The sequence below is a fragment of the Homo sapiens genome, chromosome X (genome assembly GCF_000001405.40).
Source record: "Homo sapiens chromosome X, GRCh38.p14 Primary Assembly".
NCBI lineage: Eukaryota > Metazoa > Chordata > Mammalia > Primates > Hominidae > Homo > Homo sapiens.
Genome location: NC_000023.11, coordinates 54,257,459 through 54,275,477, shown reverse-complemented (window position 1 = coordinate 54,275,477; position 18,019 = coordinate 54,257,459). Strand labels below are relative to the sequence as shown.

Below are 18,019 nucleotides of genomic sequence, written 5' to 3'. Positions count from 1 at the left end.
TCCATACACACACACACACACACACACACACACACACACACACACACACACACACACACACATATGAACTTATACCCTACAGATACCGACATTTTACCACCTCTAGTAAAATATTGAAATCTGAGTTCCATTTAGATCTGTTTACCACTCCCACTTTTTTCTGAGCCGGAGTCTCACTCTCTCGCCCAGGCTGGAGTGCAATGGTGCGATCTCAGCTCACTGCAACCTCCGCCTCCCAGGTTCAAGCGATTCTCCTGCCTCAGCCTCCCAAGTAGCTGGGATTACAGCTGCCTACCACCGCACCTGGCTAATTTTTGTATTATTAGTAGAGACGAGGTTTCACCATGTTGGCCAGGCTGGTTTCAAACTCCTGACCTCAAGTGATCTTCCCTGCCTCGGCCTCCCAAAGTGCTGGGATTACAGACGTGAGCCACTAGGCCCGACCTTTTTTTTTTTTTTTTTTTTATGTGACAGGGTCTTGCTTTGTCACCCAGGCTGGAGTGCAGTGGCTCAGTCATGGTCTACTGTAGCCTCAACCTCCTGAGCTCAAGCAATCCTCCTACCTCAGCCTCACAAGTAGCTGGGACTCTAGGCATGTACTACCATGCCCAGCCTTTTGTTGTTTTTGTTTTCTTGTAGAGATGGAGTCTTGCTATATTGCCCAGGCTGGTCTCAAACTCCTGGCGTCAAGCAGTCCTCCTGCATCAACCTCCCAAAGTGTTGGGATTATAGGCATTAGCCACCATCAGCTCCCATCATCTTTGAACTTATCTGTACACAAGAAGATGTTCCAGACCTATCCTATTCTTCCTTGCCCCAGCTTTATAATCAGTCATCTCCAGTGAGCTCTGGTTGAGAGGGTTTGTTTTCATGGAGAAATAATCTCATTTATAGGAAGAATGATTTAGGAATGAGGGAAAATTTCTTGAAATAGGAAAAAAATTACCGTAGTGATGTCCTTGAGAAGATGAGAGGAGATGACATTTAGTTTCTACATAGAGGGGTTGGCCTTAGCATAGGAGTACAGTTGTCCATAATAATAAGCGTGAAGGTAGAGATTATGGCCATAAATGCTATTTAGGTGGGTGGATGTTATGGAAATTATCTTTTTGTTGCCTTTTTTATTTTCTCAGTGAAATGGAAGCAATGTCATCAGCTGAGAATGAAGTTAGGGGAGGGAGTGTGTATTAGAAGTTTAATGATGGAAGCAAAAGTATTAAATAGTTACATAGAAGAATGGTAGTAGAATGAATGAACAAGGGAAATGTAGTGAGATTGCCAGGCAGCATTAAGGATCCTCTTGAAGTTAATTAAAGAGTTAATCTCTTTGTTGAGTTTGGTGCTTCTTTTTTTTCTAAGTTTTAGTGTTTCTCAAGGATTTGGTGATTCTTGGTTTTTTATTCAGTCATATTTAAGGGTCCTGTTCACCTGTCTGATTTGTTTACTTACAGTAGCCTGCCTTGCTGCCAGTTACTGTAGAGGAGAGACAAGTTGTGTTGGGAGCACGTTTTCTTAGTAGTTTGTTACCTGTAGATTTGTTCTTCCTCTCAGGCTCTACCTTGAGTTTTTGGGCAAATTTCCTTGCTGCTCACTATTTAGCATAATGAGGGGTTAGGAGAGGATAGGATTGCCTAGCCTAGCTGCTGTTAATTCACCATATCATTTAATCTCCCAGATGAATTCCCCAAAGCCAGGCAATCTTCTGGTATCCATTGAGTAGTTTTAGAGCTTCCCCAAATCACTCCTAACTTTGCAATAGTTTTCTCCTATATGTGCGTTTGAAGCTTTGGTTTCCATATATTTTGTTCCCCATGGATGTGATCTATTGGTTTCTGTTCTTTTGGAAGGTTCTTTACCATTTATGGTCTGTGGATGGCATTCTTTTTAGTTTTTCTGGGATGTTATGACTTTATTCTAGTTTTTGTTTTTTGCTTTAAGATGGGAGTCTCGCTCTGTTGCCCAGGCTGGAGTGCAGTGGCACAATCTTGGCTCACTGCAACCTCCGCCTTCCGGGTTCAAGCAATTCCTGGCTAATTTTTGTATTTTTAGTAGAGACAGGGTTTCATCATGTTGGCCAGGCTGGTCTCAAACTGCTGACCTGTAGTGATCTACCCGCCTCGGCCTCCCAAAGTGCTAGGATTACAGGCGTGAGCCACCGTACCCGGCCAATTCTAGGTTTTTAAAGTAATAATTTCTGTTGCTTTCTAGAGTATTAGGTAGTTGGTAAGACAGATGTATACGTTCGTTGTTACCATATTGATTCAGTCACAGAATTTCTCTTATCTACATGAATAATGTGGATTGACATTAAAAGGGAAAATAACTTAGTGATTTTGTTGTTGCAAATATCTAGCGTTGACAACTAGAAGCAGGGGTTTCATTCAGGTTTTTGTTGATATTGTTTTCATAAGTACTGACTGGATTGGCCAGATTTCAGACTTTGAATGCATGAGGAGTCATTGAAAGGTTATGTATTACTTGTTTTCATGGCTAAATCTACATATTAGCATAGCTGAGTTGTGTATTTGTAAGATTACTCTAGAAATTGTGGTTCTATTTTCTATTTTACTACTATTCATAGCTTAGCCAATGGAATCATTTGCTTTGTTAATTCCAGTTTCTTAATCAGTGAAGGTAATATCTTTATACTTCAGTCTTTATCTTAATTCTAGCCATGGTATGTTTTAGACCCATATAGTTACTGTGGTTATCAGTGGTTTTAAGAAATTGGCTTTGTTTCTGGTGACATTTCTATTCTTTTAGTGCTTACAAAACAGTACAGAAACTATATGAAGAATGGACTCTGTTGATGTGTATAACACTGACATTAATTGGCAAAAGATTCTCTACGTTCAGTTTGTTCAGAAATATCCATGGGCCTACTGTGAGTGAATATTATTAAAACACTCCACACCTGTATTCTGGTAATGACCATTTTATTATGTAACCAGTTTCTGAGACTAGCTGGCTGCCTTCCTTACTTCCTTCCTCCCTCCCTTCTTCCCACCCTCTTTTTTCATCCTTTTTTTTTTCTTTTGAGATACGGTTTCACTCTGTCACCTAGTGCAGTGGCACTATCATAGCTTATTGCAGCCTCGAACTCCTGGGCTTAAGTGATCCTGCTGCCTCAGCCTCCCAGGTAGCTGAGTCTGAGGCATTCTAATGGAGTGAAACTTATAGTTAGGGAGTTGACATTTTTTGAGGACCTGCTATGTATCAAGCAGTGTCATTTCGTTTAATCTTCACTGTAGCTTCCTCTATAAAGTAGTTAATTCCATTACATGGAAATATTTGTGTAAAAATCGAGAAAGTTATAACTGATTTCTCTAGAGAGATATTCTAGTTTCCAGGGAATCAGACTATTTCTGTAAAAATGCTATTTAGCACAGTATTGTATTTATGTGAAATTGCTTTATTCTAATTGAAGGGAAATCAGTTTAAACAGTGGGTGTGTTTGCTGAACATTGTCAAAAAGTGTTCCCAAAAGGCATGTATTGCTTTGTATCTATTCATATTGTTGAAACTGGTAATAATAAGGACATTAGTCATTTGGATTGATTTCCAGTGACATTATTCAGCCCTCTCCCTTTTGTAATGTAAATCAGTTAGAATACTGAAGATGTTGAAGTGGGGAGAACCTTTCAGATTGATCTCATTTTTCCAGGAAGGAGCCAGCTTCGTAAATAGCAGCACAGTTGAACTCTTCAATTTGGGAGGTTGGTTGAATGAGCTAAAAGACTGATTATTTGCGGATTACCATGATAAGGTATTTAAGAAAAAGGCAAACTGTTGTTTTGGGAGGATAGCAATTATGAAAGCTTTTTAAAATAATTTTATCATATTATACATGTTATATTCTTGATTTATATGTGTACATTCAATTTTGAAACTACAATTCTAACAATTTGGACTCAATATTAACTATTGGTTTTAGTATAGATCACCAGTTTTTATACCACATATTCTCTATTCTTGATTTTTAAATTTTGCTAAGTACCTGTGTAGTTTGAAGAATGGCTTTGTGTAATTTTTCAAAGTTACTTGGGTTTGAAATTTCTGATTCTTTGGATATCCGAAACTGACGTTTCATTTACATTCACACATGAACAAAAACTTGTTAGGCATTAAAAAAAAATCAGTTTACAGTCTTTTTTTCCCATCTACATATTTTGTTCTTTTGTCTTCTTCTAGCTAATGCTTCAGAAGAGAAGCCTAGGCCTGTCTGATTTTTTTTGTTCCCTTTTCCTCCTAAGTGCTTATAGGTGGTATTCTTTATCTTTATAAGTAAAAAGTTTGGTATATATATTTTTTTAATTTTCAGAATTCTTTGGGTATGGCATACATCTTTTATATGTCTTGGTATGGATCTTTTATTTCCTCACATAAAAATAGCTTTTTAGGCTGGGCGCAGTGGCTCACGCCTGTAATCCCAGCACTTTGGGAGGCCAAGGCGGGCAGATCACCTGAGGTCAGGAGTTCAAGACCAGCCTGGCCAACATGGTGAAACTGTGTCTCTACTAAAAATACAAAAAAATTAGCCAGGCGTGCAGCCATAAAAAAGAATGAGTTCATATCCTTTGCAGGGACATGGATGAAACTGGAAGCTATTATTCTCAGCAAACTAACACAGGAACAGAACACCAAACACCGCATGTTCTCACTCATAAGTGGGAGCTGAACAATGAGAACACATGGACACAGGGAGGGGAACATCACACACCGGGCCTGTTGAGGGGTCGGGGGAAAGGGGAGGGAGAGCATTAGGACAAATACCTAATGCATGCGGAGCTTAAAACCTAGATGACGGGTTGATAGGTGCAGCAAAGCACCATGGTACATGTATACCTACGTAACAAACCTGCACGTTCTGTACATGTATCCCAGAACTTAAAATTAAAAAAAAAAAATTAGCCAGGTGTGGTGGCAGGTGCCTGTAATCCCAGCTACTTGGGAGGGTGAGGCAGGAGAATCGCTTGAACCCAGTGGTGGAAGTTGCATTGAACCAAGACCACGCCATTGCACTCCAGCCTGGGCAACAAGAAAGAAACTCTGTCTCAAAGAAAAAAAAAAAAAAAAAAGAGGCCGGGCGCTGTGGCTCACGCCTGTAATCTCAGTACTTTGGGAGGCCGAGGTGGGCCTGAGGTCGGGAGTTCAAGACCAGCCTGACCAACGTGGAGAAACCCCATCTCTACTAAAAATACAAAATTAGCTGGGCGTGGTGGTGCATGCCTGTAGTCCTACCTACACAGGAGGCTGAGGCAGGATAATCGCTTGAACCTGGGAGGCGGAGGTTGCAGGGAGCCGGGATCACGCTGTTGCACTCGAGCCTGGGCAAGAAGAGCAAAACTCCATCTCACACAGACACAAAAAAGGAGCTTTTTAAAAATAACTTTTCTTCTCATAAATACTTTTTAAAGTACAGAAATGTATAAAGAAAGTTAAAGTTACCTATGATCCTACCTCTCAAAAACAAAACTTTTGTAGTTTTTCTAGACATTTTCCATGCTATGTGTGTATGAAAAATGTGTGGTATTTTATCAGAATTGAATCATACCAGCTGTTCTTCAAATTTTTTTTTACAAAGGTATATACATTCATTAAGGTATCCTAAATGTACAGTTTGATGAGTGTTCATATATATATATCTTCATGAAATGCAAATGAAGATATAGAACACTTCCAGCCCCCTAGAAAGTTCACCGAGATTCATCTACATTGTTGCATGTATCAATAGTTTGTTTCATTGCTGGTAGTTGTTCTGTTGTAGAATATATCATGATTCAGTTATCCATTCTCCTATCCATGTACATTAGGATTGGTTCTAGTTTTTGGCTCTTATGGATAAAGCTGCTGTGAGCTTTCCTGTATATTTTTTGGTGAATATATGCACTCATTTCTCTTGTGTATATACTTAGGAATGGGATTGTTAGGTCACAGAATAAGGGTAGTTTTAGCCATACCTTATATTGCCAGACAGTTTTCCAAAGCTATTGTACTGAAATACGTTCCCGCTGGCAATGTATGAGACTTCCATTTACTCTGCATCCTTATCTGTTGTCAGTTGTTTAAATTTTAGCTGTTTTGATGAGTTTGATGTGGTTATATATTGTGGTTTTTAACTTGCATTTTCCTGATAAATAATGATGTTGAGTGTTTTTTCATATAATTATTAGAGATTCAAATACCTTCTTTGGTGAAGTGCCTATTCAAATCTTTTAATTTTTGTATTTAGTCTGTTTTAATTTTGAGCGATTCTTCAACCTTTTTCTGTCTTTCTTGACAGTATTGCAATGCAGAGGCCAGTTGTTTTTTTTTATAGAATGTCTCTCAGTTTGGGTTTGTTTGAAGTTTCCTCATGATTATATTCAGATAATGCATTCTTGGCAGGAATACTGTGTGAGTGATGTTGTCTTCTTATCAGTGCATCATAATAGAAGTAATGCCAGTTTGTCCCAATATTGGTGAAGTTAACTTTTATTACTTGGTTCAAGTGGGGCCTGCCAAGCTTCTCTACTGTAAAGTTATCGTTTCTTCCCTTATAGTTTATGAGTTATTTGTGGGGAGATATTTTGAAGCTATGTAAATATCCCTTTCACTTACTAGTTTTAGCATCCATTTATGATTTTCTAGCTCCATCATTCCTCTTTATTAGTTGGCCATTCTCCCTCATTTATTTATTTATTTATGTTAGTATGAACTCATGGGGACCTTATTTTATTTACTAGGTTATAGTATAATACTATCATTATTTATTTAGATGGTTAAAATGCCCTAGATTTGGGGGACCATTCATGGTAGCATTTGTGTCCTTTTGACATTTTCCCATCATTCTTTGAACACTTCCTTATTTTCTGGCCACAGCAAGACAGATATTCCAGGCTCATTTTGTCTTTTCCCTGCCCCTACCCTGGAATCCAGCTATTTCTCCATGGAGTTCTGATTCCTTTAATTTATTGATTTATTTGCATTTTTAAAAATTTTTTTGAGGCAGGGTCTTGCTCTGTCACTCAAGGTGGAGTGCCAGTGGCAAGATCATGGCTCACTGCAGCCTCAACCTGGCTCCTGGGCTCAAATAATCCTCCCATCTCAGCCTCCCAAATAGCTGGGACTATATGCATGTGCCACCACGGCCAGTTAATTTTTTTAGTTTTTATTTTTTGTAGAGGCGAGGTATTGCTCAGTTGCCCAGGCTGGTCATCAACTCCTGGGCTCAAGCGATCCCCTCGCCTCAGCCTCCCCCTTATTCCTTTTAGTGGGTAATGTAATTTAGAAAAAAAGCCTGAGTATTGGGTGTGTTTGCTGCTACTGGGGAGTTATTGCTTCTAGAGTTCTCAGCAGACAGGCTAGGAAGTGTGTGTGTGTGTGTGTGTGTGTGTGTGTGTGTGTGTGTGTGTGTGCACGCATTCAGATATCTTAGGTGACTTTGCTTTTGACTTTGTGTTCTAGGAGAGAATTTATATATTTTTTGCCATGTATCTCCAGTGTACATGCAAGATCTCCACTTGGTTGTATAATGACGTTTCAAATTAAGTATATCCAAAATCGAACACTTACATTTGCACTTTCCACCACCCCAAGCCTGCTCTTTTCACTGTCATCCCCATCTCAACAAATAGCAACTCTGTCTTTCCTTACTCAAGCCATATGGCTATGGTTTTTTTGTTGTTGTTGTTGCTCTTTTTTTGAGAGAGTCTCGCTCTGTTACCCAAGCTGGAGTGCAGTGGTGCTGTCTTGGCTCACTGCAACCTCCGCCTCCCGGGTTCAAGTGATTCTCTTGCCTCAGCCTCCCAAGTAGCTGGGATTACAGGCACTTACAGGCACACACCACCATGCCCGCCTAATTTTTGTATTTTTAGTAGAGATGGGGTTTCACCATGTTGGCCAGGCTGGTCTCGAACTCCTGACTTCAAGTGATCCCCCCACCTCGGCCTCCCAAAGTGCTGGGATTATAGGTGTGAGCCACCACACTCAGTTAGCTATGGTCATCTTTTATTCTTTGCTTTCTCTCATATTCCACTTCAAACTATCAGCATGTCTTTTGACTCTTTTTACAAATTTTTGTGGGTAAATAGCAGGTGCATATATTTATGGGGGACATGAGATATTTTAGGCCTGGGGATGGTGGCTCTCCCCTGTAATCCCAGCACTTTGGGAGGCCAAGGCAGGAGGATCACTTGAGCCGAGAAGTTTGACACCAGCCAAGGCAACATGGCGAAATCCTGTCTCTACCAAAAAGAAAAAATTCTTTTTTATGGCTTCATAGTTTCCTATGGTGTATACATGCCACATTTTCTTTATCCAGTCTATCATTGATGAGCATTTGGGTTGGTTCCAAGTCTTTGCTATTGTAAATAGTGCTGCAGTAAACATACGTGTGCATGTGTCTTCATAGTAGAATGATTTATAATCCTTTTGGTAGATACCCACATGTATGAAGCTGGAAACCATCATCCTCAACAAACTAACACGGGAACAGAAAGCCAAACACTGCATGTTCTCACTCATAAGTGGGAGTTGAACAATGAGAACACATGGACACAGGGAGGGGAACATCACACACCGGGACCTGTCGGGGGATGTGGGGAAAGGGGAGGGAGAGCATTAGGACAAATACCTAATGCATGCGGAGCTTAAAACCTAGATGACAGGTTGATAGGTGCAGCAAACCACCATGGCACATGTATACCTATGTAACAAACCTGCACGTTCAGCACATGTATCCCAGAACATAAAGTAAATAAAATTATATATATATATATAAATAAATTAAAAGTTAGCTGGGCATGGTGGCCCATGCCTGTAGTCTCAGCGACTCAGGAGGCTGAAGTGGGAGTATTGCTTGAGCCTGAGAGATCAAGGCTGCAGTGAGTCTTAATCACATTATTGCACTTCAGCCTGGCTGACAGAGCAAGACCTTGTCTCAAAAGAATAAAAAGAGATATTTTGATACAGGCATACAATGCATAATAATCACATCAGGGTAAATGGGGTATCTATCACCTCAAGCATTTATCCTTTGTGTTACAATCTAATTATACTCTTAATTATTTTTAATGTACAATTAAATTATCAACTATAGTTGACTTGTGCTATTAAATACTAGATCTTATTCAGTTTTTCTGATTAATTTTTGTACCCATTAACCTTCCCCACTCCCCTCCTGACTCTCCCCACTACCCTTCCCAGCCTCTGGTAACCATCCTTCTACTTTCTATCTCTATGAGTTCAATTGTTATAATTTTTAGCTCCCACACATAAGTGAGAACATGCCAAGTTCATCTTTCTGTGCCTGGCTTATTGTTCACTTCATATAATGACCTCCAGTTCCATCTATGACAATATCTCATTCTTGTTTATTGCTGCATAGTGCTCTGTTGTGTATATTTGATTTGACTCTTACTTTAACATATATCTGCATCCTGACTTCTCAACACCTTCACCATTGTCGTGCTGGTCTAATTCAGCTCTTTTTTTTTTTCGCTGTCTTGTCCAGGCTGGAGTGCAGTGGCACGATCTCGGCTCGCTGCAGCCTCTGCCTCCCAGGTAGCTGGGAGTACAGGCACCCGCCACCACATCTGGCTACTTTTTGTATTTTTGGTAGAGACCAGGTTTCACCATGTTGGCCAGGCAGGTCTCGAACTCCTCACCTCAAGTGATCTGCCTGCCTTGGCCTTCCAAAGTGTTGGGATTACTGGCGTGAGCCACTGTGCCCAGCCTCATCTCTTGAATAATTGTAGTAGTCTCCTAATTGTTCTTGCTTTTGCTTTTGTTCTTTTGTAGCCTTTTTCTTATTGTAGGAAGCAGTGATAGTTTTAAAATGCAGGTCACAACATGTCTCAGAGACCCACAACCTCTCGTTGCTCATCTCTTTGATAGTAAAAGCCACAATAATGTACTAATGGCCTGCAAAGTCCTACAGGATCTGGACTCCCCTGCACAACTCTCTGACCTCATGTAGATTTTCTTTGACTTCCGTTTTCCTCTTTTTTTTCAGACGGAGTCTCGCTCTGTCACCCAGGCTGGAGTGCAGTTGCGCAATCTCGGCTCACTGCAACCTCTGCCTCCCAGGTTCAAGCGATTCTCCTGCCTCAGCCTCCCAAGTAGCTGGAATTACAGGCACATGCCACCACGCCCGGCTAATTTTTGTACTTTCACTAGAGACGGGGTTTTACCATATTGGCTAGGCTAGTCTTGAACTCCTCACCTCAAATGATTCGCCTGCCTCAGCCTCCCAAAGTGTTGGCATTACAGGCATGAGCCACCCACACCCCGCCCCATTTTCCTCTTGAATGATGATTAAACCCTTTCATAGGCCTATAGCTTGAGGACAAGGAGATGCACACTTTCTGTGTATTAGTAAGCATTGATTTATTCTGGTTCTTCTGTACTGAAGTGTGGTTTACTTTTTTTACTCCCATAATGAATTATCCAATGTTCTGAAATAATCAAATACTTTAAAGACTATGATCTCCAACATGCAGGGCTGCCAAAATGTGTCTGCATCCTTGCTCATTTGGCTTTACTTATAAGATCTCTACCTTCCAGACTGCGAAATGGCTCAGTCTGTCCTCTCCTTTTCTTCTCCAGTATGCATTCTCATTCTTGCCATTAAAAAAAAAAAAAATGTTAGTTGCTCTTTCCAAATATCTGTAGAAAGCTTTGCAGGGCTGAGGCAAGACTGTGCCTGATCAGTTTGTTAGTTCTTACAGACCTTTGATCACTTAACGGGGCAGTATTAGAATAAAAGTTTGGAATTTAAGTCTGCTTTCATGAAGTTAGGCTCCCCTCAATTCAGTTCTATCTGCCTTACAGTTAATGGAACTTCTTCCTAGTTCCTATCACTCTTTCATCTCTCATAGTTCCTATCACTCTTTTATGTGTCAGTCTTTGTAGTGCTGGTATGTTTTCATCATTTTGGCCTATGTAATAGGCTGGATGTCATTATGTGAGTTTTATCCCAGGAACCGTGCTTTTGGATCAGTTTTTTAACTTAGGGTAAATTTCATCGTTCAGGCCTGGCACGGTGGCTCGTACCTGTAATCCCAGCACTCTGGAAGGTCAAGGCAGGAGGATTGCTTGGGCCCAGGAGTTCGAGACCAACCTGGGCAACACACTGACACCCCCATGTCTACCAATTTTTTTTTTTTGAGACAGTCTCACTCTGTCACCCAGGCTGGAGTGCAGTGGCACAATCATGGCTCACTGCAACCTCCACCTCCCGGGTTCAAACAATTCCCGTGCCTCAGCCTCCCAAGTAACTGGGATTACAGTCATGTGCCACCACATCTGGCTAATTTTTGTATTTTTAGTACAGACAGGGCTTCACCCTGTTGGCCAGGCTGGTCTCCAACTCCTGACCTCAGGTGATCCGCCTGCCTCAGCCTCCCAAAGTGCTGGATTATAGGCATGAGCCACCACACCTGGCCCAAATTTTTTTTAAAAAAATTAGCCAGGTGTGGTGGCACATGCCTGTAGTCTCAGCTGCTCAGGAGGCTGAACTGGGAGAATCACTTTGAGCCTGGGAGGTTGGGGCTGTACTCCAGTCTGGGCAACAGAGTGAGACCCTGTCTCAAAAAAAAAATGTTTAGAATCTTGCCTTCACCAACAATTGGCCTTATACAAGACAACGTCTTTATAGATGAAGAATTCTATATAAATATAAAAATATGGAAGTGGGCATCATGCACAGTGATAATTTTATTTAATTAAATAAGCAAAAATTCCACTGTTAACCAGGTATATACAGCATACATATAGGCTTGAGCCAATTTGTGTCATTGGTCAGACCTGGATTTCAACTCTGGCTCTTTGAACTCACTGTGTGACTTGAGGAAAGTTATTTAATCTCGCCCAGCTTTGGTTCTTTTTAGTGTGAAATGGTTTTAAATGGTTGTAAAAGTTTTAAAATGCCTATCTTGCATTTGCAACCTACTTTGAAATATATGGGATAATGTACATATAGTAAAATCCTGTAGACTATGGGTGGTGTTAGATATATAGGTTTTCACAGAACAATTCCACTTTTCTATGTGTTGGAAAATTTTTATAATGTTAGAAAAAATGCCTGTATTGCAGGCTTATTAGGATTAGGTGATATAAAATATGAGAAGTGTCTGGCATGTAATAGGTACTCAACAAATAGTGGTTGTTAAAAGTACTTCAGGGGAGAGATATGCTTTGTAACATCAATAACATAATAAAGCAATTTATGAAATGTTTAAAAGTACATCCCAGTTTTACTGGTCTCCTTCACTCCATAATAACTGAATAAGAATCTCTGGGATGTTGTACATGGGCTTAGCTTTTTATCTCTTTTGTCCTCCCATCTCCCCTTCTGGGGCTGAGAACCACTAATGGGAGGAGGAGAGGAGTGGTGGAGCAAGTAAAGGAGAAAGATCCTCCTCAACACCTTCCCGAGGTTTGGCATTACATAAGACCTCAGAACCAGTTAGGGGAGCCTCAAGAATATAACCAAGATTGATTCCCTGCTCCTGCCCCAGCAGAAGTAGCTGTATCTACTTTTCTTTTCTTTTTTTTTTTTTTTTTTGAGACAGTTTCACTCTTGTCACCCAGGCTAGAGTGCAATGGCTCAATCTCAGCTCACTGGAACCTCCACCTCCCAGGTTCAAGCAGTTCTCTTGCCTCAGCCTCCTGAGTAGCTGGGACTACAGGTGCATGCCACCACACCCAGCTAATTTTTGTATTTTTAGTAGAGATGGGATTTCTCCATATTGGTCAGGCTGGTCTCAAACTTCTGACCTCAGCCTCCCAAAGTGCAGCCTCCCAATGTGAGCCACTGCGCCCAGCCCACTCTTTATTATATATGTTTAATGTTTGACTCCAGGGACTCCATCAGATTCATTTTGTATCCTCACTGCCTCTTAGCACAGTGCCTGCTACACACTAGGTTTCCAATAAATGTGTGAAGGTAGAAATAAGAAAGGAAAGGGTGACATAGGAAGAAAAACTGTGCCATAAAAATGTTCATGATCTGATATTGCCAATCCTGGAAATAAATCTGAAGAAAATAATAAAAAGGAAGCAAAAAGCACATACTACAACGCTTGTTTCATAGTGAATGTTAGCTATCTCTGTATTTTTGCTGTATTTTTATTTATATGTAATAAAATTGGCAGTAAGTTAGTTATCCAGGAATAGGGGAGGAGTTAGATAAATATGAATACTTATTGTCCTATCATGTGCCCATTAAAAACTGAAGTAATGCAGGCCAATAAAGGTAAGGAAAAATACTTAATACATTTTAAAAAGCAGAAAAAACTGTATAATTACAACCATTTATACACATGACAAAAGCCTATAGTATTGAAACAAATATTATAATCACAGCCATGTTAGGAAAACAGCATTCTAGGTGATTTTTCCCATTTTCCTACATTTTATAATGTTATATACATTTAATAATTAAACATTTTTATAGGATAGCAAATACCAAATGTAGAGGAAAATGGATACTTTCACAAACCTCTGGTAGGACTGTAAACTGGTTAGACCTTTCTGAAGGGCAATTTGGCAATATATATCAAGCCTTAAAAATGTCTAGCAATTCCATTTTTAGAAAGGCTTCCTAAGGAAATAATTAAGAATGCATACAAAGATTTGGCTACAAGAATGTTCCTCACAATATGAAATATAGTTGCAAATAGCAAAAAAATTAGATGTTTGTCTCCCTTACTTGCACCATTAAATAAATAATGGTATGTTTACACTAAAGGATATTATGTAGCCCTTAACATGTTCTTAAACACTTAAGATGTTTTCAGTAAAAAGAAGATTATAAAAGAGTACATACATTATGATTACATTAAAAACGTGTGTGTGTGTGTGTGTTTGTGTACAGAAAATGGTCTCAAAGAATATACACCAAGGTGTTAAACAAGCTTATCTATATTCATCTTGCTTTGGTAATAAGAAAAAAATAAATTCAACTTTGTACAAACAGACTTACCAAGCCTCAAATCTGATAATCTTAGGGTAGGTCATCATTATATCAATATGCAACACTATAGTACAATCGTCCTTTGGTATCTGTAGGGGATTGGTTCCAGGACTTTTCTTGGATACCAAAATCCAAGGATGCTAAGCCCTACAGTTGGCCCTGTGGAATCACACACATGAAGTCAGCCCTCCATATCCAAGGGTTCTGAATCCTGAAAATACTGTCCTGTCTTGTCTTGTCTTTTTCTTTTTCTTTTTTTTAAGACAGGGTCCCAGGTTGGACTGCAGTGGTGTAATCATAGGTCACTGTAACTTCAAACTCCTGGGCTCAAGCATTCCTCTTGCCTTGGCTTCCCAAAGTGCTGGGATTACAGGTGTGAGCCACCATGCCCAGGCAGAATATTACATTTTCAATCCAAGATTGGATGAACCCATGCATGTGGAATCCACAGATAAAAGGGCTGGCTGCAGTTTTAAACAAAAGTGAAAATGGGCCAGGCGTGGTGGCTCACGGCTGTAATCCTAGCACTTTGGGAGGCCAAGGCAGGTGGATCACTTGAAGTCAGGAGTTCGAGACCAGCCTGGCCAACATGGTGAAACCCCATCTCTACTAAAAATACAAAAAAAAAAAAAATAGCCGGGTGTGGTGGTACGCGCCTGTAGTGCCAGCTACTCGGGGGCTCAGACAGGAGAATCACTTGAACCTAGGAGGTGGAGGTTGCAGTGAGCCAAGATCACGCCACTGCACTCCAGCCTGGGTGACAGAGCGAGACTCCATCTCAAAACAAAAAACAAACAAATGAAAGTAAAAATGAAACATTTCATTAAATTTGAAAGACATCTGCAAAAATGGCCCAGCACCTATTTGTAAATATTAATTTTGAAACCTTTAGAAATATTATGACAGAGCTTAACTTGTACCTATCAGATATGAAGGCAGATAAACCAAACATTAGCCATGATTCTGAGCACCAGCACAAAGTAGCATTAATAACCCCATTAATAATTGCAAGTGATTATAAAATATATTTCCATATTATTGTATAGTAGCTATGTTTTGTTTCTCTTTGATTAGTACATACACTTGTCTCTGGATTTATGCATTAGGATGCCAGTTGCTGTTCCAACTTACGGGGACTGTACAAACATTAGTTAAATTAGATACATTTTGTTGAATCTTAAGTGTACAAAAACACTATTTGCCGAAATATTTGCTCTCAATGTTTAAACAGTAATTATGTTAAAGAGCTAATTAACTAATCTATAATTAGAAGCTAGTCTAATTTATGCAGGAAAAAATTTCTCAGTATGGGTTGATTAGAATGATGAAATAGTTTGAAATAGTTTAGGGAAGTGGAGGAATATAAGTAGAGTCACAATATGCAGAAGAGCCTAATTTATACAGAGGAGCTACAGTTTAGCGTGGCTTCAAACAGAGAGATAAGGCTAGATAATCAGGTATAGGCCAGTTCATTGAGAACATTATTTGCCATCTGAAGGACCTTAATCTTATAGAAGATGAGGCACCATCATATAGGGTTTAAACTGGGTAAGGAAATTATCAGTTTTGTTAGATTTGCATTCTAAGATCACTCTGCTATCACTAGTGGCAGTGCATAGAGGATGGATTAGGTAAATGTAAAATTATTTTCCAGTAGAATTGGTATTTGCCCTATTAAGAGCTTAAACACTTTTCTCCTGGAAGCCAATGTTGCAGCTGCTGAGTACTAATTCCTTGAAGGGATAGTTGAAATAGTCTAGAGAAAAGAGATGAGAGACAGACAGACAGACTACACAATAAGTTAATGCTTGAGTCATTGATTTATCTTCTTGTAGAATGGTAGTACCTCTTCTTTTAAGTAGTAGTCTTACAACTAGGACTGGAAGCTCGATAGTAGTGTCTTCCATTGAAAAATAACTCAAAACAAAAGTACATATAACAGTAATAACTTTTTCAAATGAAAAATCTTCATGTATAAGATGTACTTGTTGTATTGTTAAATTTTATTTATCTTTGGTAATAATGTTAATAATAGGATTGATACAGACATTCAATAACATAGATATTCTACCAGGTTTGCAAGGTAACCAAAACTATCGTGTTTTCTGAATAGTAACAAATTGTATATTTAGCTTGAATTTTACTGTTATCATAGCAAGTTTTATGTCTGTACTGTTTACAGCCTGTATCCCAACCAGTTGGAGCTGAACAACAAGCAGCTCTTCTAAAACCAGATTTAGTTCGAAGGTAAGTATCTTCAAATTAATACCATGAGAACAATGAGGATATGCTGAAGTTTGTTTACTCATTAGGTGCTTAGTGCATCCTGACTAGAGAAGCTTCTGTATTCTTGTACTTGTGTGGATGTTTAATAAAGACGATAGTTTTTTTTTTTTTTTTTGCTTTTTTATGTCAGTAGGGATCATATGGATTGTGAAATTAATTGATCATTTTCTTATTGTGTTTATTTATACCATTCTGTTCTAGGAAAAGCTGGTAAGGGTTAAGGAAGGAAGAAACAATAGAGTTTAGAGTAGAATTCTAGCTAATCTAAAGAAATAAATTACAACTAGATATTTAATTGTATTATTATTTAGTACTTGAAAACTAGTATTTTTCTGTATAAAAATATAGATTGGATAGTCTTTATTGTTCTTTCTTCAAGTTCATTGATTGTTTCCTTTGTCCTGTTCATTCTACTATTATGCCTATTCAGTGAGGTGTTTTTTTTTTTCTGTGATTGTTTATTTCTATACTTTCTATGTGGTTCTTCTTAAAATCTTCTATTTCTTTTATAAGATTTTGGTTTTTTTTCATTTGCCTCAAGATTATTTGTGATTGCTCATTGAAGCATTTTGATGATAGCTGCTCTAAAATTATTGTTAGAGGCCGGGTGCAGTGGCTCACACCTGTAATCCTAGCACTTTGGGAGGCTGAGGCAGGCAGATCACTTGAGGTGAGGAGTTCAAGACCTGCCTGGCAAACATGGTGAAACCCTGCCTCTACTAAAAATACAAAATTTAGCCAGGTGTGGTGATGTACGCCTGTAATCCCAGCTACTTGGGAGGCTGGGGCTGGGGGATTGCTTGAATCCAGGAGGCAGAGGTTGCAGTGAGCTGACATCGCACCACTGTATTCCAGCCTGGGTGACAAAGTGAGACTCTGTCTAAATAAATAAATAAAATTCTTGTTAGATAATTCCAATATCTGATTCATCTTGTTCTTTTTTTTTTTTTTTTTTTTGAGATGGAGTCTCACTCTATTGCCCAGGCTGGAGTGCAGTGGCACGATTTCGGCTCACTGCAACCTCCACCTCCTGGGTTCCAGTGATTCTTGTGCCTCAGCCTCCCAAGTAGCTGGGATTACAGGCTCGCACCACCACGCCTGGCTAATTTTTGTATTTTTAGTAGAGACAGGGTTTCACCATGTTGGCCAGGCTGGTCTCAAACTCCTGAGCTCAAATGATCTGCCCGCCTCGGCCTCCCAGAGTGCTGGGATTATAGGCGTGCACCACAGCGCCCAGCCTCATCTTATTCTTGTTAGATGATTTCAATAACTGACTTATCTTGGTGTTGGCATCTGTTGATTACCTTTTTGCATTCAAGTTGTAATTTTTCTAGTTTTTGGTATGACAAAGGAGTTTATTTTCATTTGTCTCCTGGGCGTTTGGATATTGTCAGGTGACTGTAGATCCTATTTAAGTCTTTTTTTTTTTTTTTTTTTTTTTTTTTGAGGCAGAGTCTTACTCTGTTGCCCAGGCTGGAATGCAATGGCGTGATCTTGGCTCACTGCAGCCTCCACCTCCTGGGTTCAAGCGATTCTCCTGCCTCAGACTCCTGAGTAGCTGGGATTACAGGCACATGGCACCATGCCTAGCTAACTTATTTTAGTAGAGACAGGGTTTCACCATGTTGTCCAGGCTGGTCTCAAACTCTTGACCTCAGGTGATCCGCCCACCTCAGCCTCTCAAAGTGCTGGGATTACAGGCGTGAGCCACCATGCCTGGCCTATTGAAATCTTCTATGTTAGCAAGCAGTCGCCCTTGTTTAGATGCATAGGTTC

At 39.6% G+C, this 18,019-nt stretch overlaps 1 protein-coding gene across 22 annotated transcripts in view; it reads left to right on the top strand.

The window, feature by feature from the left end:
* Positions 1-18,019, top strand: part of WNK3 (WNK lysine deficient protein kinase 3) — a 166,078-nt gene that overhangs the window by 83,423 nt on the left and 64,636 nt on the right. For all 22 annotated transcript variants that reach the window (XM_047442382.1, XM_047442379.1, XM_017029744.2 and 19 more), the window contains exon 11: positions 16,140-16,204. In XM_047442382.1, coding sequence (XP_047298338.1) covers positions 16,140-16,204 — 65 coding nt within the window. The remainder of the gene's footprint in view (positions 1-16,139; positions 16,205-18,019) is intronic.